We start from the raw sequence: 24,082 nt of genomic DNA, 5'->3' as shown, positions 1-24,082 counted from the left end.
GGAAGCTGACAGTGTAGCCTTCAGTCTATGGCCTAAGGCCCGAGAGCCTCTGGCAAACCACTGGTGTAATTTCAAGAGTCCAAAAGCTGAAGAACTCAGAGTCTGATGTGTGAGGGCAAGAAGCATCCAGCATGGAAGAAAGATGAAGGCCCTAAGACTCAGCAAGTCAAGTCCTTCCATGTTCCTCTGCCTGCTTTTATCCTAGCTGTACTGGCAGCTGATTAGATGATGCCTACCCAGATTGAGAGTGAGTCAGCCTCTCCCAGTCCACTGACTCAAATGTTAATCTCCTTTGGCAACACCCTTACAGACACACCCAGGAACAATACTTTGCATCCTTCTATCTAATCAAGTTGATGCTCAGTATTAACCATCACACAAGGGTAGTGTGAGATCAGTGAAGACATGGATATAAATTTATTTTATAGATTGCGAAGTGCTTTACAATAGATTGTACTAAAAGCATTTATTTGGTATTTAAAAAATAACAGTGTTATCACATGCATTTTTTCTTTCTTGCTTATTTCTCAGTATTTTGGTTCATGAATTGTTACTCTGTTGTCCACAATATTCCTTACTTGTGTGAGAGTTCTAGAGTCTCTGGGGTCTAGGACAGGAGTTACAGGAAGCAATCTCTTACCTGAGGCTGCTGTAACCCTGAATTCAGGCAAAGGAGTAGAATCACAAAACTGGAGCACAGAGTAGAGAGCCAGAGTCTGATAAGCGAAAAATAAGTCAGTTGTCTAAATGGGGTGTCTGAGCTGGGAATGTGACCTCAGAATTCTGTAACCTGGGAGCAGGGTTAGCCAACTGTAGACTGAGGGAATTTCTCAGTAAAGGCTGGACATTTGCAACTGGATATTTGTTGGCTATATTTAAATACAGACCTGGGTTATTAGGAACACACATCATACAGATATTTTCATTTTGATGTGTTCTGACTATCAACCTCCTCTTTCCGATATGCCTCATAAATCACTTTCAAGGCAGTTAGGATCTTTTCTTGGAACTGAATTCATCTTGACTAAAATTATTTGAGCATTCATATTTTTTCCAAAGTTCCTATTCTTTCTGATTTCATTAAAAAGTGTTCCTCTTTTTTTTTCAAGACATAGAACAATTAAGATCATTTGTTTCCTTTGTGAGAGAATTCAACTTTGCTTTGGAAGTGTATCATCTCAGAAGTAATATTGTCTTTCTTACCACCTGTGAAAATCTGTATAGCTATTAGTCAAGGTTATCCAAAGAAACAGAGCCAACTGAGTGTGTAAATATATAGAAAGAGATTTATTATGAGGAATTGGCTCACGTGATGATGGAGGCTGCTAAGTCTAAAATCTGCACTGTGACTTGGCAGTCCAGAAACCCAGGAGAGCCAATAGCTCAGTTCCAGTTTGAAGGCCCATGGCCTAGAGACCCAGAAGAGCCAGTGGTGTAGATGAAAGCCACAGGCAGTCTGCTAAGCAATGCCCTCTTGGCAGGAGAGGTTGATGTTTTTGTTTTTGCTTTCTTTTGTTTTTCTATGCAGGCCTTTAACTTGATTGGATGATGCTAACCCACATTATAGAGGACAATCTGCTTACTTAAAGTTTATTGACTTAGATATCAATCTTATCCAAAAATACCCTCCATTTTGATACATAAAATTAACTGTTACAATAGGTAAAAAGAAAAAAATTTGTCCTTTCTTTTTTTTTTTTTTTTTTTTTTTTTTGGAGGCAGAGTCTCACTCTGTCGCCCTGGCTGGAATGCAGTGGCGTTATCTCGGCTCACTGCAAGCTCCACCTCCCGGGTTTACGCCATTCTCCTGCCTCAGCCTACCGAGTAGCTGGGACTACAGGCGCCCGCCACCACGCCTGGCTAATTTTTTGTATTTTTAATACAGACGGGGTTTCACCGTGTTAGCCAGGATGGTCTCGATTTCCTGACCTCGTGATCCGCCCACCTCGGCCTCCCAAAGTGCTGGGATTACAGGCATGAGCCACCGCTCCTGGCCTGCATTTATTTTATATATACACATCATATTGAATAAAATACAGAAAAAAAATGCCAGATTAAGAAAAATAATCACATACTTTTACCACAGAGAGTTTTTCACTACCATTTTGACATCTTTATTCCAGTCTTTAAAACCACATTTGTATAGTTGAGCTTATATTACCTGTACCATTTTTTTATACTGGGTTATCACATATTATTGTATAAACATTTATCACACTACTAAAATATATAAAAACTACATTATCATATATTTATATAGGATTTTATGTACCCTTTGCTTGGTAATTTAAATTGCTGCCAATTTTCTTTGTTATAAATAATGCTTCAACGAACATCTTCATGAATAAAAGTCTCCATCTGCATGTTGACTTTTGTTTTATATCACATTTGTAGGTAAGATTATTGGTTTTGATGAAATAAATATCATACCAAATGTTGCATTGGTTTTAAATGGGATAATTGGAGTAGCAGATTTAAATTTTTATTGAGGGCTCTTTTTCTATTACCAGTGGAATTTGAATCCTATTAGGAAAGACATATTTTAAGAGTCACTACAAAATAATCAAATCTCTAGGGCAGTCTGCTCACAACAATTTGTTAGCATTTTAATAGGTTTTAGGTATTTAAACTCATTCTTCCAGAGTGCTTACCATGGATGCTTTCTGTGAGACAGTTCCCTCTTGGAAAGTTGCACTGACCCGTTTTAGGGAATACATTGCTGCTATGTTAAGATTGTTTGGGCAGCAGAGACTAGAATTGAAGGATAGTGGTTGTTGTAAGGGCTAATTATACAGCTAATGGCTTTGCTTAACATATCAATAAGCATTTCCTAAACTGAGTCTCCTTTCTTCTTCCAATAGGATTCTTCCAAATGTGCAGATATTATGACATTGAGTTGGAGAGTGTTTTCTCTACTCCCATACAAATGGCATCATGTACTGATGCATTCTGACAGAAACATAGGGAATATTTGGCAAACATCTTGTTTTTTACTGTTACTTCCACACACCCATGATATTCAGAGGTTGCCCTGATAAAAACGTAGATCTGAGGCCAAAATCTGTCACTCACATTTGAATTTTGGCAAGTTTTAGATAGAGAATCTCCTTGTGTCTCTAAGGTACACCTCATCAAAGGGAAGAAAAGGAAGATGGTGGTAAAAGGATAACTGTTTAGGCAAAGCCCTCTAGGAAGCTGGAGGGAACGGCATGGGGAGCAGCAGCAGTGGCAGCATGGTTTTTTGAGCTCTCGCTATTTACTAGGCACCATGGTTCAATAATTTGCATACATTATCATATTGAATACTTATCATGAGCCCATGGAATACATGTATATTATTATCATCCCCATTTTGTAGATGAAAGAATAGAGTGTAAAAAAGGTAATAACTTGCAAAGAGCCACACAGTTAGAATGAAGTCATGCTAATAGAACAGGGTAAATTAAATCTCATCCACTTCTGTAATTGGCCTTAGACAGAACTAGAGAAATGTTTCTCTTGAATAATGGAGAGCCGGTGAGAACGGGTACTAATGCAGTTAAATATGAAAAGAGGAAATATGAGGTGACTGGGCCTCTCTGAATGTTATTTTCTCTGTGAAGTAGGATACTGAGGTTCTGAATTTGGAGAAGGGTGAGTATGGAGGTGAGGGTGACTTGGGAATACTAATGATGATTTGAAGTAGACATTGAGAGAATAGGCAAAAGTTGATTAAATACTCACAAAAGGGAAGTTGAGCATTCCCAAGCACCCAGTGGAATCTGAAGGCTAAAGATAAATAGTGCATTCAGTCACACAGTGGTTTGAAGAAAACTCCTGTGGCAGGAGCCACTGATGCATTACATAGGAAATCCTAGCAGCATGTGAAATTCAGTAACTCTCTGGTTCTACATGATTCAATTGAAAAGTCTTGCTCAAAAAAATAAGCAGTTGAATATATAATTTTTTCCAAATTTTAATTCAGCTAAAATATTTTTCCTAATTCTTGTTAATTAGATTTGTTTTATTTGTTATGAGAAAATTACTAGAACTTGACAAAAATTATTAAAATCATATTAAAAATCTGCCATATTAAACCATGACATAAAGAATTCATAATTTTGTAAACACTCAGTTAATTAAACAAACAAAATTGTGGTAGACTTTGGAAAAGTAAAAATAATAAAAGATACGTAGGTTCCACTACCCTCAAGGATCATATAGTGTAATGGTGCCTACATAGGAATAAATAGATAATCACAGCACCTTATTATAAATGCTATGACAGAGAAAGTACAATGATGTATCTGTCTGCTCTGGCTGCTCTCACAAAACACCACACTGGATGACTGGATGGCTTAAAGAACAGAAATTTATGTTCTCACAGTTCCAGAAGCTAGGAGTCCATGATCAAGATAGTGGCAAATTTGGCTTCTAGTGAGGGTTCTCTTTCTGACTTACAGATGGCTGCCTTCTTCCTATGTTCTCATGTGGTCTTTCCTGTGTGTGTGTTCTCAGAGAGAAAGCTTTCTGGTGTATTTTCCTATAAGGACACTAATCTTTTTAGATCAGGAGCCCACTTTTATTACCTCATTTAATCTTAATTATTTCCTCTGAGACTGTATCTCTAAATACAGCATCACTAGGGGTTGGGGCTTTAATGTATGAATGGGGGGTGGCCAGAAGCATTTAGGTCATAACAAGGATGCTGTTAAATTACATATGAGAGCCCTAACTCAGGAATGGAGGTGGTAAGGCAAAGCTTTCTGCAAGAAATGATTTTTACATTTTAACCTGAAAACTAAAGGAAGTTACTCAGATAAATGGGAGGGAGACAGGGGAGAGTGACTCAGATAGAAGAGGGTGATTATCTGAAAGATCTATCAGAAGACAGAGAGAAAGCATGACACTTTTGAAAGAATAAAGTAAGTTTGTTGGAGTTGGCCCTTAAAGTAGGGGTAGAAAGTAGAGGTGAGAAATTGAAAGTAGGAGGAATAGAAAGATAAGCAAGAAATAAATCAAGCAGGGCCTTGAAGCAATGATAAAGAATCTGGGTTATATGATATTGAACAGTTTTGGATACAAAAAGCCCAGACTGAGAACACTGCAATAAATACCAAACTCTTCAATGCCCAGACACTGAAGAACATCTATAAGCATAAAGATAATCCTGGAAAACATGACCTTACCAAATGAACTAAATAAGTCACTGTGGACAAATCCTGGAGAAAGAAAGATATGTGACCTTTCAGACAGAAAATTCAAATAGCTGTTTTGAGGAAACTAAAAGAAATCCAAGATAACAGAGAAGGAATTTAGAATTCTAACAGATAAATTTAACAGAGAGATTAAAATAATTAAAAAGAATCAAGCAAAAATTCTGGAGTTGAAAAAAGACCCAATGATCTATTGCCTACAAGAAACACATTTTGCCTATAAAGACACACATAGACTAAAAATAAAGTGATGGAAAAGATATTCCATGCCAAAAAAGAGGAGGAATTGTTATACAAGTATCAGACAAAATACATTTCAAGAGAAAAAGATAAGAGGCAACAAAGAAGGTCATTATATTATGATAAAGGAATCAACTCAGCAAGAGAATGTAACAATTATAAACATATATACACCCAACACTGTAGCACTCACATATATAAAGCAAATACTATTATAGCTAAAGAAAGATTTTTTCCAATACAATATAGCTGGAGACTTCAACATTCCACTTTCAGCATTGGACAGATCACCCAGACAGAAAATCAACAAAAGCATACTTAATATCCTCTATAGACCAAATGGAACCAATAGATATTTATGAAGCATTTCATTTAATGATGGCAGAATACACATTCGTTTCCTCAGCACATGCATCACTCTCAAGGATAGACCATATGTTAGCTCACAAAACAAGTCTTAAAACATTCAAAATTTGATGGCTGGGTGCAGTGGCTCATGCCTGTGATCCCAGCACTTTGGGAGGCCAAGGCGGGCAGATCACCTGAGGTCAGGAGTTCGCGACCAGTCTGACCAACATGGAGAAACTCTGTCTCTACTAAAAATACAAAATTAGCCAGATGTGGTGGCGCATGTCTGTAATCCCAGCTACTCAGGAGGCTGAGGCAGGAGAATCACTTGAACCCAGGAGGCAGAGATTACAGTGAGTGGAGATGGTGCCATTGCACTCCAGCCTGGGCAACAAGAGCAAAACTCCATCTCAAAAAAAAAAAAAAAGGCATTCAAAATATTGAAATAATATCAAGCATCTTCTCTGACCACAATGGAATACAACTACAAATCAATAACAAGAGGAATTTTGGAAAATACACAAACACATTGAAATTAAACAATATGCTCCTGAATGAGCACTGGACAATGAATAAATTAAGAATAAAATAGAAAAATTTCTTTCAAGAATTGATAATGCAAACACAGTATACCAAAACTTAGGGGATACAGCAAAAGCTGTGTGAAGTGGAAAGTTTTTAGCTATACATGCCTACACCAAAAAGAAGAAATATTCCAAACAAGCAACCTAACAATGTGTCTTAAATAACTAGAAAATCAAGAACAAACCAAAGCCAACATTATTAAAAGAAAAGGAATAACAAGCATCAGAGCAGAAATAAATGAATTTGAAATAAAGAAAACAACACAAAAAGTCAATAAAACAAAAAGTTGGTTTTTTGAAAAGAAAAACAAAATTGACAAGCCTTTAGCTAGACTAACTTAAAAAGAAGAAAGAAAACCCAAATAAATAAAATCAGAGATGATAAAAGAGACATTACAACTGATAACACAAATTCAAAGGATCACTGGTGGCTACTATGTGCAACTATATGCTAATAAATTAGAAAATGTAGAAGAAATGAATAAATTCCTAGACACAAAACCTATAAGTATTGAAACTTGAAGAAATCCAAAACCTGTATAGATCAATAATAAGTAATGAAATCAAAGCCATAATAAAAACTCTCCCAGCAAAGAAAAGCCCATGACCTGATAGTTTCATTGTTGAATTCTACCAAACATTTAAAGCAGAACCAATACCAATCCTACTCAATCTGTTCTGAAAAATAGAGGAGGGAATAATTCCAAACTCATTAAATGAGGCCAGTATTACCCTGATACTAAAACCAGACAAGGATACATCAAAAAGGAAAACTATAGGCCAATATCACTGATGAAGATTGATGCAAAAATTTTCAACCAAATACTAGCAAACCAAATTCGACAAAACATTTAAAAATTTGTTGAATTAATACTTGTTCATTCGTCATGAACAAGTAGGAATTATCGCAGGTATACAAAGATGGTTCAACATGTGCAAATCTACTAATGTGATACATCATACCAGTGAAATGAAGAATCCATATGATTCTTTCAATTGATGTGTGATATGATTTGGCTATGTCCCCACCCAAATCTCATCTTGAATTCTGATAATCCCCATGTGTTAAGGATGAGACCAGGTGGAGACAATTGAATCACAGAGGTTGTTTCTCCCATACTGTTCTCATGATACTGAGTGAGTTCTCACAAGATCTGATAGTTTTATAAGGTGCTTCCCCCTTCGCATGGCACTCATTCTCTCTCCTGCTGCCCTGTGAAGAGGTGCCTCCTGCCATGAGTTTAAGTTTCCTCAGACCTCCCCAGCCATGTGGAACGTGAGTGAATTAAACCTCTTTTCTTTATAAATTACCCAGTCTTGGGTATTTCTTCATAGCAATGCGAGGATGGACTAATACAATGCTGAAAAAGTATTTGATAACACTCAACATCCTCTCTTGAAGAAAACCCTCAAAAAACTGGGTATAAAAGGAACATACATCAACATAGTAAAACCCATATATGACAGACCCATAGCTAGTATACTGAATGGGAAAAAGACTGAAAGCTTTTCCTCTACATTTGGAACACATTGTCCTAGCTAGAGAAATCAGACAAAAGAAAGAAATAAAGGGTTGGAAAGGAAGAAGTCAAATTATTCTTGTTTGCAAATGATACAATTTTATTTGGGAAAAAATCTAAAGACTCCACCAGAAACCTATTAGGACTCATCAGCAAATTCAATAAAGTTGCAGGATAAAAAATCAACATACAAAAATCAGTAACATTTTCATGTGCCAGCAGCGAAGAATCTGAAAAAGAAATTAAAAAGTAATCTTTTTTATGATAGCCACAAATAAAATTAAACACCTAGTAGTTAACCAAAGAAGTGGAAGAGAATACTATAAAACACTGATGAAAGAAATTGAAGAAGACCCCTAAAATGGAAAGATATTCCATGTTTATGAATTGGAAAGATCACTATTTTTAAAATGTTTATACTCTCCAAAGCAATCTACAGATTCAATGCAATCCCTATCAAAATACCAATGACATTTTTCACTGAAATAGAAAAAAAATTCCTAAAATGTATATGGATCAGAAAAGACCCAGAATAGCCAAAGCCATCCTCAGCAAAAAGAACAAAACTGGAGGAATCACATTACCTGACTTCAGATTATGCTACAGAGCTACAGTAACCAAAACAGCATGGTACTGGCATAAAAACAAACATAATAGACCAGTGGAACATAATAGAGAACCCAGAAACAAATCCACATACCTATGGTTAATTCATTTTTGACAAAGTTGCCAAGAACATACACTGGGGAAAACACAGTCTCTTCAATAAGTGGTGTGGGGGAAAGTGGATATTCATATGCAGAAGAATGAAACTAGAATCTCACCATATCTCACCAGTCTCATCATATATGGTGACCTATGCTTCACCATATACAAAAATCAAATCAAAATGGATTAAAGACTTAAATCTAAGACCTCAAATCATGAAACTACTACAAGAAAAAATCGGGTAAACTCTCCAGGACATTGGACTGGAGAGTTTCTTGAGTAATTCCCCACAGGCACAGACAACCAAAGCAAAAATGGACAAATGAGATCACACCAAGTTAAAATCCTTCTGTACAACAAAGAAAACAATAAACAAAGTGAAGAGACAACCCAGATAATGAGAGAAGATATTTTTCAACTACCCATCTGACAAGGGATTAATAACCAGAATATAAAAGGAGCTCAAACAACTCTGTAGGAAAGAAAAAGCTAATACCGTGATTAAAAATGGACAGAAGACCTGAATAGACATTTCTGAAAAGAAGACATACAAGTGGAAAAAAGTTATATGAAAAGATGCTCAACACTGCTGATTATCAAAGAAATGCAGATAAAAACTACAATGAGATATCACCTCACCTCAGATAAAATGACTTATATCCACAAGACAAGCAATAACAAATGCTGGTGAGGATGTAGAGAAAAGGGAACCCTCATACACTTTTGGCGAGAATGTAAATTAATACAACCACTATGGAGAACAATTTGGAGGTTTCTCCAAAAACAAAAAATATAGTTATCATACGATCCAGCAACCTCATTCCTAGGAATATACCCAAAAGAAAGGAAATCAGTATATCGAAGAGGTATCTGCCTCCCATGTTTATTGCAGCACTATTCACAATAGCTAAGATTTGGAAGCAACCCACATGCCCATAAACAGAGGAATGGATAAAGAAAATGTGATACATATACAATGGAGTACTATTCAGCCATAAAAAGAATGAAACTTGTAATTTGCAACAACATGAATGGAGCTCCGGAGGTCATTTTGTTAAGTGAAATAAGCCAGGCACAGAAAGACAAACTTTACATGTTTTCACTTATTAGTAGGAGCTAAAAATTACAATAATCAAACTCATGGATGTAGAGAGTAGAAGGATGGTTACCAGAGGCTCAGAAGGGTAGTAGGGTGGTGGCAGGGAAATGGGGATTGTTAATGAAAACAAAAAAAAATCAGAATGAATAAGACCTAGTATATGCTAGTACAACAGGCTGACTATAGTCAGAAATAATATAACTGTACATTTTAAAAATAACTAAAAGAGTACAATTGGATTGTTTGTAACACAAAAGATAAGTGCTTGAGATGATGGACACCCTTTTTATCCTGAGGTGATTGTTCTACAGTACATGCCTGTGTCAAAATATCTCATGTAACCCAAAAATATATGCACCTATGTACACACAAAAATTAAAAAAAGAGTGGAAACAGTCAAATAGTTTTGAAGATTTCTGGCTTTGACTAATGGATGGCAAGTTGCACTATTTACTGATAAAGGGAATGTGTTGGTCAGTGTTCTCCTGAGAAACACAACCAGTAGGATATGTATAAATATATAAGAGGAGATTTAGTATGGGAATTGGGTGACAAGAGTATGGAGGGCCAGAAGTCCCACCATGTGCTGTCTACAAGCTAGAGAACCACAAAAGCCAGTGGTATAATTCAGTCCAAGGCTGAAGGTCTGAGAACCTGTGGGGAGGTGGGCTGAATGCTGCTGTAAGTCCTAGAGTTCACAGGTCTGAAAATCAGGAGCGAGAGAGAGAGAGAGAGAGAGAGAGAGAGAGAGAAAGAGAGAGAGGGAGAGAGAGACTGACTGACTCTTCCTTTGCCTTTTTGTTCTGTTTGGGTCCTTAATGAAATAGATGATGCCTGCCCACATTGCTGAGGGCAGAACATCTTTACTCAGTCTACTCATTCAAGTGCTAATCTCTTCTGAAAAAATCCTCACAGACAGTCAGAAATACTGTTTTACTAGCCATATGGGCAATTCTTAACCTAGTCAATTGACACATATAATTAACCATCACAGGAGACAAATGAGGAAGAGCAGGTTTTGGTATCTGGGGGCATTTTGAGCATATTGTATTAAAAGTATCCAAGACAAACAAAGTACTTTAATGAGATTTTCTGCACAGTACTTGTAGCCTTTTTATATTGTCTGTTTTGTCTGTCTTGGTTTGTGTTTCCTTCAATAGAAAGTAGGCTACAGTAGAGTAGAAAGCTTTCTAATCTATTCACTTTATCCATATACCTAGCTTGTTTTTGACACATAATAAGCTTACAAATAAATTATTAGATGTATGTGTAGATAAATGGATGAACGAAATTTGTAAGGAAGTTGGGAGAGCTAGTGTGCTGGCTAGAGAAAATTGGAGAGACATAAGCATACTTAAATGCTGATGAGAAGGAGCTAGTATAAGGGAGAAGGTGAAATAAGGTAAAAACACATGAGGGGAATGTTACTGTCATTGTTTGTTTGTTTGCTTTTTTACCAATTTGTCATTTTAGCCCCTTTGTTTTTTACCTAAATACTCTTCTGATTCAATTCTGGATTACTAATTTTACCTGTATATTATTCATGCTGGATCATTGTGTTATTGTGAGTTGTTATTAGAGAAAGTTTTGGCACAGTAAAGTAAGGTCTTGCAAGTTATAGGGGTCTGACTTCTGCTATTCCCTGACTTCTAATGATCAGAGAAGGGAAATAATTGAAGAAAGCACCTGCTTCACCCACACCACCTAAAGATACATGCATACCTAAAGATGCATGCATGCTTATTTTTGTGGTTTCTATTCTCTAGTTTCATTGTGGTATCTTCATTGTGGGCAGATGGGGCAGCTGACCCTGAGAAGGATTTTTTTTTTTTGGTGGAGTGGGGCCTTTAACAGAAGCCATTCTATATTGTGCTTCTCTTTTCAAGAGGCCTAGAGCCTCCTCAACTCCCAGGCCATGGACCAGTACTGGTTTGTGGCCTGTTAGGAACTGAGCCACACAGCAGGAGGGGAGCAGTGGGCAAGTGAGCAAAGCTGAGCTCTGTCTCCTGTCAGATCAGCAGTGGCATTAGATCCTCATAGAAGTGTGAACTCCATTGTGAACTGTGCATGCGAGGGATCTAGGTTGCACACTACTTATAAGAATCTACTTGAATCACCCTGAAACCATCCCCACCCCACTGTCTGCGGAAAAATTGTCTCCCACGAAACTGGTCCTTATGCCAAAAAGGTTGGGGACCACTGGCCTAGAGAATGTCTGCATTTACTCGTTTTCTCATTCATTCAGCAACTATTTATTGAAGCCCTATCTTATGTTGGGAGCTGTGCAGAAAGAGGAAATGTCTGGGGCTTTTTTCTTTTAGAGCAAAATTCAAATAGTTTGCCAACAGTGAAGAGGAGTGGGATCAGGAAGTGATTTACATGAAAGCTTTTGAAATTTTGCTGTATAATTTTATATTCTGCTTTTTTCACACAGTATTATATCTTATTTTTACACTTAAATGGTCTCAGAGTACAAAATACTCAAACATATAAACACAGAACTATTTATTTTACATGTTGAATGTCATTTATTTTTTCATATTTTTGCTATTAAAAATCATGCTGTACAGTTCCCACACTAATTCCTAGTGTTTAGAAGAATCTTTTTTAGCTCGATTATATATGGTGACATCAGATTATTTCACTTCTTCCACTACTTTCCAAACATATATGCATATGCACATATGTAGATGCATGTGCACACGCACACACACACACATTCATACACACACGCACACACACACATTCATACACAAATGCCTACCTGTCTTTATTTTTTGGTACTTAGAAGTATGTATGTTACAGGGATGTTTGCGTATTTCCCTGCATCTAGTATCTATCCTTTACCTTAGGAAGTGTGGGGCACACACATTCCAAGATGCTTTGTGTATCAATAGTCCTCTCTTACCTTCTTTCAGTATTGCTATCTGGGAGTTAAGTCTCTGCAAGACAGAGGAAGATAGGTGAAGATTAGCATGGGAGAACAATAATCCCTCAAAAAGTAACTCTGATGCAGCACAAGGACAGCTATATAACTTTCTGGTTACTGGATAATTTGGTTGATGTAGACACTGGGTCTTCAATACCCAGTTAAGATGAGGAGAGAATAGACAGAGTGTCTTCCTACCTTCTTCCAGTTGAGAGGGTAAGGGGATGCTCTGTTTTATGAGATTATGCTTGGGGAGGACCACTGATATATGGACCACTGGCTATATATATATATATATTTATGTGTGTATATATATATATATATACACATATATATATATGTATACATATATATATGTATATATATACATATATACACATGTATATATATGTGTATATATATATATATACATATATATATATACACACATTTTGGCACCAGGGACTGGTTTTGTGGAAGACAATTTTTCCACAGACAGTGGGAGTGAGGACAGATGATTCAAATACATTCTCATAAGGAACATGCAACTTAGATCCCTCACATGTGCAGTTCACTACACACACAGACACACACACATGTATATATATAATATCACACACACACACACACACACACACACACACTAGTGTTTGGCAAAATTTTAACATTATTTCCAACATATGTGTCATACCCTTTCTTTTATCTGCTCATTTTTTCCTTTTTCCTATTTTTATATTCACCTTCTTGTACTTCTCTCAATCTCATTCATGCAGTCTTTCATTCATTCAATACTTATTTAATACCTGCCATGTTCCAGGCATTAAACCAATTAAAATTATTTTTTAAAAAAAGCCCTTTTTCTTCAAGTTGATACTTGTACCTAAATGATCATATTACAGTATGTAAGTGCCCTGATCAAGATAGCCTAGGGTACCATGAGACCACATTTTACTCACAGCCTAATACATAATCAGTGTTCAAATCATATTAATGACCCCTTAATGTGTGTGCATATTTCAGCACAAACATAAGAAAACACACTTTTGTCCCCCAAAGGAGATGGATTAAGGTCATGCCAATCAGCACTTTGTAATAGCAAATGTGTCTGTATTATGACTCAGCTTATAGAGTTAGGTGTGTCTAGCATTTTTTTTCTTTTCATATCCTTCTAGAACAGGGGCATTGTTTGAAAAAACAGGCAAGATTGATGGTTTGGCTTAATTTTTCTTCTAGGATTCAGGAAGTTTTATTCTTTTTGAAGGAAAGCATTAGGCAGAGAGACCAGAATGAAAATAAACACCTGATTTTCTGTGCTGTGGGTCCAGGATCAACTGGGGATTGAAAAGCAGAGTTTGCAGATATAAATGAAGCTGCTCATTGACTTAGCCCATCCTCCCTGCTGAGGCGGACTTATCTCTGAAACAAAATGGTATACCTAGTGAATTTTAAGCAATGCAGGAGCAGAGGGAAGGTTAGGCTGACATATAGTGAATTGCTTGCACCAAATATATCTTTGCCATGGAAATTCTCAATTTAAGAAACTTTTAATATGTTTTCAGGGTTTACGTTTTTCTTTCTTTTTTCTTTCTCTGGAGGAAGAGGGGGGATCTGCATCTCATTTAAGTTTTAAAATATTAACCATTCATGATGTGTCTGAAATATGAGGCAACAGTGATGTGGGGTGGGAGCAGTCTGACCCTGTGTTTCTTACAGAAGCTGCTCAGCTTTAAAAACTGGATTAGGCCCAGTGGGTAAAGCAGGATTTTGAACATGAATTTCAGATCGATCTCTTGCCTCTGACAGTTACTGCATGAGTTCCAATCACATTAGCACCTCTTCAGCTTGGGCCAGAATTTATAGAATAAATTCAACATTTTTCAAATCTTAATCAACCCAGTGGTCATTCTCCTCAAAGTGCAGTTTTGTTGCTGCCACTAGAAAATCAATGGGGAAGGGTTGATACTTTCGTGTTGCCACAGCACAAGACACAAAATGAAATACTCCAGGAAGGTCTGCTCCATTTCAGCTGCAATTCTCAGAGAATTTTTTTTTTTAATGTCAGTGACACTTTTGATCCCAAATATCTAGCTCCTATCCAGGGGAAATAGACCAGTCAGCAGTAGAGTAATCAGATCAAAAGGGAAATTTGATTTCATTCCTCTTTGTCTTAAAATGCTTCTATTTCCATTGTCTGTAGAATAAAGTTTCAACTTTTTGGCTTGATATTCAGAGCCTTTCACATATCACCTATTCAGCTTAGCACATTGTCTGGCACACCGAAGTGTTCAACAAATTTTGTTGTGAGTAATCAAGTAAATGTGAGTAATCAGGTAAATGAATTCTCTGTCATAGATGTATCCACATCAACTTTCTCCCTACATCACAATGCACTCTCAAGCTTTCAGGTCTTCACTCACACACAGCTCTATGCACTTAGTGAACATTTCCCTCTTAATTCCCTATCAAAATACTCTTGCTCCTTTGAAACTTAACTCAGAAATCACCTCTGTGAACTTGCTTTTTTCCCTACCTCAAGCCAACCAGGGCTAGTAGTTTCTTCCTTTGTGCTCCAACTGCATATTTTCATACCTCTCTAATAGCCCTTAGCAGTATTTTCTAAATAGTATGGTTGGGCTCTGATAAAGTGTGAGCTCTGTTAGAGGCAAGACCTTGTCTTTTGCTTCTCTCGCTTGAGAGTGCTGGAATATATCAACTGAACAAAATCAAAATTCTATGCAATCTAAAATATTGGTGACATAACAATATAGTATTGGGAATAAGAAGTGAATTTTGCACCAGATTGTACAATCTTCCAGCCTCTCCAGACCTTGATTTCTTAATAATGTGACTCAATTGGCCTAACTGATAACTAAAATTCATTCTTACTTTAGCTTTATTGTTACTGTTGTCATTATTACTGTTGTTATATTTATTATTTTACTTTTTCTATTACTACTAGTACCACTACTAATACTATAATAACCATTACTATCTCAATTAACTGTGCCAGTACCATCATTCACTGAGTGCCTACTATGTGTCAAGCTTTGCTGTAATAACTTAACTTACATTACTGCATTTAATCTTCAAAACAACCACAAGTTAGGTATTATTTTCTTTGTTTCCCAGAGGTGAGAACTGATGCTCACATGCTAAAAATCTTGCCTAAAGTCACACAAATAGAATGTCACAGAGCTAGATTTTAAACTAACATTGAAATTTTTGCTTATTATAATACTTACTTTGAAGGCACACAAAATGTACATTTTACTAGAAATATATATTGTTTATGATTACAAAATCATATATTCTCATGAAAAACATGGAAACTTCTGAAGAAAATAAAGATCAGTAAATTACTTGTAATTGTACCACTCAAAGAGAACCAGTATTAACATGCTGGTAAATTTCTTTCTAGTGTTTTCTCTATGCATGTATATGATGTGTGTGTGTGTGTGTGTGTGTGTGTGTGTGTGTGTATACACAGTTGAAAATTGCACATTAGTTGACATGTGAAATTGGCATGTGACAAGGCTCGTGAGTAATCACTAACCATGTGTGGCTATTGAGTTCTCGAATGTGGCTAATGTGACTAAGGAACTAAGCCTAAGGAACTAACGAACTAAAATTTTACTTCTTTTGTCATTGCCTGGCCTGTGCCTCAAGTACATTAGTGGTTCACTATTAAGAGACTGCTCCTACCAAAAACAGAAGTTACACATTGACCAATTCATTGACCAACTCATAACCATGTAGCAAAAGTCATTCTGAGAAACACGGTTCCTGGCTTAACTGTGTTTTCCACAGCTGCCATTTAGAGGGCTCTGCCAGCTGTTATACTCCAGAGAAAAGGATATCCAACTACTTAATGCCCCCAAAAATAGAACTTTCTACAGTAATGGAAATGTTCCCTGTCTATGCTGCTTAATATAGTAGCCGTTAACCATAATGTGGCTATAATTAGCCATAATGTGGCTGTTGTGACTAAGAAACTATCATTATAATTTTACTTAATTTACTTTTAAAAAATTTAAACAGCCACATGTTTAAATTTGGTAGGCCAGTGACTACTGTATTGGACAGACAGATCTATAGCATCTGTTGCTTTATCACCTAGGCACACTTTACTAGTACCAGATGTTGAGATCAAGTTATATCTAGAACAGCCAGTGCTCAGAAGAGAGGTTACACACATCATGTGCTCAATAAATGCTGAATGACTCCTAAATTCATCTTCTTTCCTTCATATTCTGCTTGTCTTCCAATATTTTGTCTCTTTATTAATGGTACCAGTATCCACCCATTTCCCCAAGTTCAAAACCTCATGGTTGGCTCACACCTGTAATCCCAGCACTTTGGGAGGCCAAGGTGGGCAGATCACGAGGTCAGGAGATCAAGACCATCCTGGCTAACACAGTGAAACCCCATCTCCACTAAAAATACAAAAAATTAGCCGGGTGTGGTGGCCGGTGCCTGTAGTCCCAGCTACTTGGGAGGCTGAGGCAGGAGAATGGTGTGAACCCGGGAGGCGGAGCTTGCAGTGAGCAGAGATCGCGCCACTGTACTCCAGCCTGGGCGATAGAGCGAGACTCCGTCTCCAAAAAAAAAAAAAAACAAAAAAAAAAAACTCATGGTTATCCTGGATTTTTCATGCTCTCTCATTCCTACATTTAATCATAAGCATCTCTTACATCTGTTCCTCCTTTCTATCCACACTGCCACTGTCTTTGTTCACTTCAGGCCATCATTAGCTCTTTGGATCACTATGCTAACATTCTGACTGGTTTCTCTAGCTCAAGTCTGATCCCTTTCAGTCCATACTCCACACAATAGTAAACAAGATCTTTTTAAAGATCAAAAAGACCTTTAACCATGTAAGACTTTAAACCCTGTGATGTCTTTTCACTAACCTCAGGATAAAGTCTAGATTCTTATCCTGACTTACAAGGCCCTCTTCAATGTTGCCTGTGCCTCCTTCTTCATTCTCATTTCTGATCAATCTCTCACGCTGATTGTATGCTACAACTGTGCTCAACTATTACCAGTTCCCACAGAGTGCTAGGATCTGCTCTATGTCCATAACTTTGCACATTTCCTTTCAAGGAATGCCGTCCCTTCTTCCTTCAGCACTCTTTTCTAAGAATTTCATCTTCCTCTTCCACTCATTCTTTAAGACTCAGCTCAGCATATCTCCTCTTGAACTCTTCCCTCACACCGCAGCCTGGTGTAAGGGCCTTTTTGATACTGCATTGTACCCCATGCCTCTCTCTTCCATTCTCTATGAGCTCCTTAAAACTAGAAAGTGTTATATTCTCAAGGATCAAGTAAAAGATCTAGCATATGCCTGCAGAATAAATGAATGGTCAGAGTCTCTGTCATAGACAATAAGCTGTCAAGGTAGTTGCTAGTGGGCCAAAACACCAAATGGATAATGACCATTATAAGATAACAGAATTTTAGGATTGGGACAGGCAGCATAGAAGCTATGGTAGAAAGAATATAGACTTTGGTGTTCCAATGGTAGCTCTACTACTTCCTGTACTGTGTATCTTAGACAAGTTAAGAAACTTTTGTAAGATAGTTTCCTTATTTGTAAGAAAGAGAAAGCTATACCTATTTTATGCTTGTGAAAAGCAATGCAAGTATGTAAAGCACCTAGCACAGGGCCTTGGCACAAATAATCTGTAATACACACAGTTTCTTCCTTAGAGATTTTTGAGTATGTCTCCTTCATTATTAGTGAAGTTTTCCAGCAGCCCTGTAATCCATTGTTCTTAGGATATATTGCAAATGAAATGCAGTTTTTCCTATCATTGATCATCCTCTGGTGCCAAGAACACAGGGCCATTTGAGGCCCCAATTTCCTCCTGTAAGAGAAGATAAACCTAAAGATGATTTTTAAAGATTTTCAAGTTTTAACAGCATAGTGGACAGATCCTCTGAGACTTCTGAGCCTTTATGAGAATTACAGTGGTAAAATGGTAATCCAGTTATTTTTGTTGCATGAACATAACCATCTATGGTGATAGTCACGGCTCTGTGACTTTGACCACTTCCATCTGTGTAATCATTATTTTTTTTTCTTCTCACAAACCATTCAGAAGTGAATTGAATTTACCAGAGAGAAAGATTCAAATGTATTTAACTGGGTCCATAGAAACAGAGTCCAAGGGACTAGCCTAGCATGAAATTTTGCTGGTTATTCAGAGAATGACAATCTTTCTCCTTGGTTAGTCTACTGCCTGTGCTTGAGAATTCTACAATTATCAGAATCCTCAATTGGATTATACCTTTATGTAAGTCAAGCTAGTGAAGTATTAAAAATGACATAATTCACTTTTCCCAAGAAATGTGAGCCATGGCTTCTATTTTAGTAGCTAATCTGATTTCCTTGTCATATGAAACCTTAAAAGGGTCTTCCAAGAGCACAGGACCACAGAGTTTCCCCTTCTTCCTCACTGTCAGCTCTATAAACAGGAGCTCAGATTTCCTCTCAATTCAAGAAGTCTGTGGTGGCATTTATAAATGAATCCATGTTTAAATGTTTTGCTGAGCTCTCAGGAATATTTATAACAAGTAGTGTCAGGAAACCAGCTTAGTTCAGGCATGAGAAGGGGCTTGAGAGGACAGGCAGTGTTTGACTAGAAAACAAGAAGCCACGTTTTAATACTAGCTCTACTGTTTATCAGCTGAATTACTTGACTTCTCAAGTCAAGCCTCAATTTCCTCTTCTGTAAAATGAGAGTAATAGTACTTAGTTTTCAGGACTATGGTAGGTTTGAAATGAAGTAATTAACCAGCTAGGCAAATAGAAGAGCAAAGGGCTTTGGAGACATGTAGGATGGATTTAAGGTCTGTTTCCTCTGTTGACTTGCTGTTTGCCCTCAGTCAAATTATTTCTCTTTTCTGAGTCTCTTTTTACACATAAAAAAAAAATTGATGGCAGATGATCTCCCTTCAGGCTAGCAAGTCTATGATATCCAACTCATTCCCCATTCTTAGCTGAAGGAAGGAGGTAACAGCACTACAATCTACCCCTCAAAGAGGTTTTTGGTGCCACAGAGTTGGACCTTCAAGCAAGCCAATTCTAGTTACCTTGTTTTATCTCCTTCCAAGTCACTTCTTCATTCTTAACATATTGTCTCCACTCAAACTGTGATCTCATGGTTTTCTTGCGCTAAACATTTTTTATCTAAATGAGACATGATTTATTCTCAAATTGCCTTTCGAAAACCTCTGATGTATTCATATTTGTATCCCAGGAACCTAGGCTTCAAATCTTAGAGGAACCTCAGCCATTCTGTTACCTCCTTATCCATGATTTCTTCTGCAGTTTTCCTGACAGAGGCATTAAACTTCTGTGCGAATGCATCTGGTGATGAGGCACTCACTAGTAGGGAACCCAGATTGTTTTACAGAGCTTTGCAGTTTGGTTCTACAATTTACACTAAGGGGACATTACTCTTCCGGATATTACGTATTAGCATATGAACCAAAAACCTGGCCATTTGTGGCAATGCTTTGACCTTTGCTTATCCTGAGTCATATTTCTGTGATGTTGTAGCATATTTAATCAAGAATCATAGGATAATGATTGAAGTATTGAGTGCTGGATCTGACATTTACTACTGTATGATCTTGAACAGGTCTAACCATGTCTCTGCTTCTCTTCATTTGTAAGATGGATGTACAAATAGCATGCCTTCCTCTAGGTTGCTGAGAAGATGAACTATTATAAGTAATATGCTTTAGAAAGTACTACAGCAGGGATCAGCAAACCATTGCCCCTGGCCAGCTATTTTTTTTTGTACATTAAGTTATATTTTAACACAACAATGCCCATTTATTTATGTGTATTTGGCTGCTTTCATATTACAACTTTGTCAGAGTTGAAGAGTTGCAACAGACACTCTATGGCCTATAAGCCTAAACTATTTACTATCAGGCCCTTTATGAAAAAGTTTATCCACTCCTGCACTATACAAATATGTGTTCTTATTAGAATTTAAAAATGATTATTTTAGGAAGAGGCATAGGATGATGGTATTGAAGTATGGTAATAGAAATAAATCTAGTTAACTGACTGGGGGACATAAATTGAGTACCTGACAATGTCAACCACTGTCCTATGTGTTTTTTGTGTATTATTTTGTTCAGTCTTTACAACAACATTGTGTATTGGGCATCTTATATCCATGTTACAAATGAACTGACTCTTATAACTTGACCAAGACTACAGTGGCAGAACTAGGATTCAAATTTAGATATCTGATTCCAAAATTCATGTTCCTTTTATGAAGCTGCCTTACCTCTTGTAGTTATGGCTTCAAATATTGTAACTCTTACCTGTTAGAGCCTTTATGAAAAGCATTAACGATCTGAAGAGTTGCATATGATCACGTTAATAATGGGTACAAAAGTCTAGCATGCATTATAAATGCATCAATATCAGAAAGGAGTTTAAATATATAACTAGGATTGGTGTTTTGAAAACATAGAAACATAATAGCAAAAACTAAGAGACTGGTAAAGATTGAATAGTAAGAATTACTGAATTTTTGAATGTTTTGACATTAACACCACATTTTTGTCAGCACATACCAACCTTTTTCAGTTTGGGTATCTATTAGTTCATTACTTAAAATCTCAATGGAATCATACATGGTGAAAAGATAGGATGAAAGGAGTCTATAAGCTGACAGGCTGATTCATTTCCCGGTCTGTTTTTTTTTTAAATCATCTAATGTTAACTGTAAAATAGTCAAAACTTTAATAAAGTAGGTTGAGCTGCTTAATTAAAAGTGAGGCATAAATGATTATCAAGAGCTTCTTTTAGAAAGAGCATAAGGGTTATTTTATTATTAGCAACAAAAAAGGGGAGTGGTGTAATGTATACCTCATTTTTGCATGTAAAGCTATTATCACACTTGTCATCTATGTGTAATTTGTAGAATTTAGAGGTGAAAGGAACCCTGAAGATTCTTCTACTTAACCCTCTCAATTTATACACAAGAAAACTGAAACTTGAAAAAGTCAAGTTATTTGCCTAAGGTCACACAGCTAATATATAGCAGAACTAGAACTTGAAAATTGACTCTTTGCTTATTCATGTGTATTAGTTTATTAATTAATTCATTTCTTAATTAAAAAGTTTAATTTAATAATCTAACATTTATTGAAGCCTCTATATAGTATCTACTGTATTAAATGCTATCACATATGTGTTATTTTATTTAATTCTCATGAGATAGATATTATTACCTTCATTTTGTAGTTAAGATAACTGAGATTTAAAAAGGTTAATAAACCTTGCCCAAGGTCTCACAGCTTTATCATGAATTAACTAGCTAGAGAGAATATAGAGCCAATTTGAAGTTCCTTATACAGTTTTAAAGTCAGGCATGATAGAGCTAAATTTTGTTCCAACTCTAAAATGATAATTGTCTTAATCAGACATTCCATCTGAGCTGATAAATACTTCATTTTGAAGTTGCTGACCAGAGCCTGAAGAGATGATATTCTGAATCATCAAGTGAACAGGGATATATGTGTTTTATTTTACTGTACATTGTGTTTCCAAAAATAATAAAAAGAAAATCAGTTTTTAAAAATTAACACTAATCTTCCCCCAAAACACAATTAATTCCATTTTGCCTATTTCTTTCTAGTATTCTCCTTACGTATACACATTTTAAATGGCTGCAGCAAGAAATGTGAGATTATATTTTGCTTTATATTGGTTAACATCAGAACATCATATAATCTTTCAGTGTCAATCCACATTTTATTCCATGCATAGTCTTTGCAATTACAATTTTAATGGTCAAAGACTACACAATTGCATGGTTACACCATGATTTACCTCATTCTCTTTGTTGGAGATACACACACACACACACACACACACACACATCCATCCATCCATCCAAAAAATATATGTATTCATTTTTTTAAACTGATATGGTTAATGAACATATTCTAACATTTAGTATTTTTTCTTCTGTTGTATTATATGTTTAAGAAATGATGTGGGAAATAGTGTAAGATCATGGGGTCAAAGAATACGAATGTCATTATTGCCTTTACACATTTCCATATTAATGTCAGTAGGATTGTAAGAATTTCTTTATAGTGTCTACAAGAGGAGAAACAGAATTAGTTTACCACAGCATTAACTACATTGGGTGCTACTATAGTTTTGACAGATTTTTACTAATGTACTAAGTGACTAGATGCTTTAGATACTTGATATATACATAGCAAAGGTGATATTTTATAACTGGAATACAAAGATTTGACTCTCATTTTTGCCTAAGTAGAGTTATCATCCCCTTTTGTATTAGGGCATTATCTATAAAGTTTAGGCCACAGAATACCAATACTTTTGGATGCCCTGCTGTGAGTGATGATGACAAAAAGAAAGCAATTTCAAACCCAAAATCTTCTATAATATTTATGTCTTCTCTTCTTTTAGTTTCTTTTGTATTAAGGCTAAAGAATAATTTCACTTAGAAAATTGTACAAAAGATATAAAGAAGTTTGATTAAAGACTCCTTCAAATGTTGATAGATCTTTTTAATATACAACCTTCTTTAATATTGTAACCAATAATTAAAATAAATCTACATCAAAAAACAATAAAGAAGCTAACCATGAAAATTCTCATTAAATGGAATTTTAATGTATTTCATTTTATTTCATTTAGGGATATTTTATAAAGGCACATATCTTGAAATAAATAATAGGTCCAAGATCTCACCATCCTAGATACATCTTAGAGAGTTTGAAACTTCTTTAGTTTGAAAAAGAACACAAGAATGTAGTCTTTTATTCAGTAAATCTGCACTTTTGTCATTTTATTATGGTAGTAAAAAAACACACAGAACATAAAATTTACCGTCCTAACCATTTGTAGGTATACTATACAGTAGTGTTAACTGTATGATCATTGTTGTGCATTAGATCTCTAAAACTTTTCTATCTTGAAAAACGCAGCTCTATACTCATTGAACAACCCCTTTTTTCCTCCCACCACCAGTTCCTGGCAATATATTTTCTATTTCTAGAGTTTGATTACTTTAGAGACCTCATATAAGAGAAATCAGGCAGTACTTGTCTTTTTGTGACTGGCTTATTTCACTTAACGGAATGTCCTCCAGGTTCATTCAGGCTGAAGCATATGACAAGATTTCTTACACTCAGTCACCTGCCAATAGACATTTAGTTTGCTTGTGCATGTTGCCTATTATGAATAATGCTCCAATGAACATGAGTGTGCAAATAATTCTTTGAGATCCTTCTTTCAATTATTTTTGGATATATGCCCAGAAGTGTGATTGCTGCTATTTTTCTAGAGAGGCTGTATCATTTTATATTCCTACCAACAGTGCACAAAGTTTCCAATTTCTCCACATTCTTGTCAACACTTATTTTCTTCTGATTTTTGGATAGTGGCCATCTTAAGGATTATGAAATGATAG

General features: G+C 36.2%; 1 protein-coding gene and 1 long non-coding RNA gene across 11 annotated transcripts in view, besides 1 other annotated feature; both read left to right on the top strand.

Moving 5' to 3' along the window:
• Positions 1-24,082, top strand: part of AGBL4 (AGBL carboxypeptidase 4) — a 1,501,444-nt gene that overhangs the window by 615,175 nt on the left and 862,187 nt on the right. The window lies entirely within an intron of this gene.
• AGBL4-IT1 (AGBL4 intronic transcript 1) overlaps positions 1-24,082 on the top strand; it is a 97,885-nt gene that overhangs the window by 63,306 nt on the left and 10,497 nt on the right. The window lies entirely within an intron of this gene.
• Positions 1,668-1,883: a silencer, noted in NCBI's record as "fragment chr1:49872569-49872784 (GRCh37/hg19 assembly coordinates)". NCBI's record gives its function as "represses an EF-1alpha promoter that drives an FKBP-Casp9 reporter gene in an ReSE screen in K562 erythroleukemia cells {active_cell/tissue: K562}" and the evidence as "EXISTENCE:reporter gene assay evidence [ECO:0000049][PMID:32094911]".

Source organism: Homo sapiens, chromosome 1 (assembly GCF_000001405.40).
Source record: "Homo sapiens chromosome 1, GRCh38.p14 Primary Assembly".
Classification (NCBI taxonomy): Eukaryota; Metazoa; Chordata; class Mammalia; order Primates; family Hominidae; genus Homo; species Homo sapiens.
Note: the sequence above shows the minus strand (reverse complement) of the source record. Positions and strands in the feature narration are given on the sequence as shown.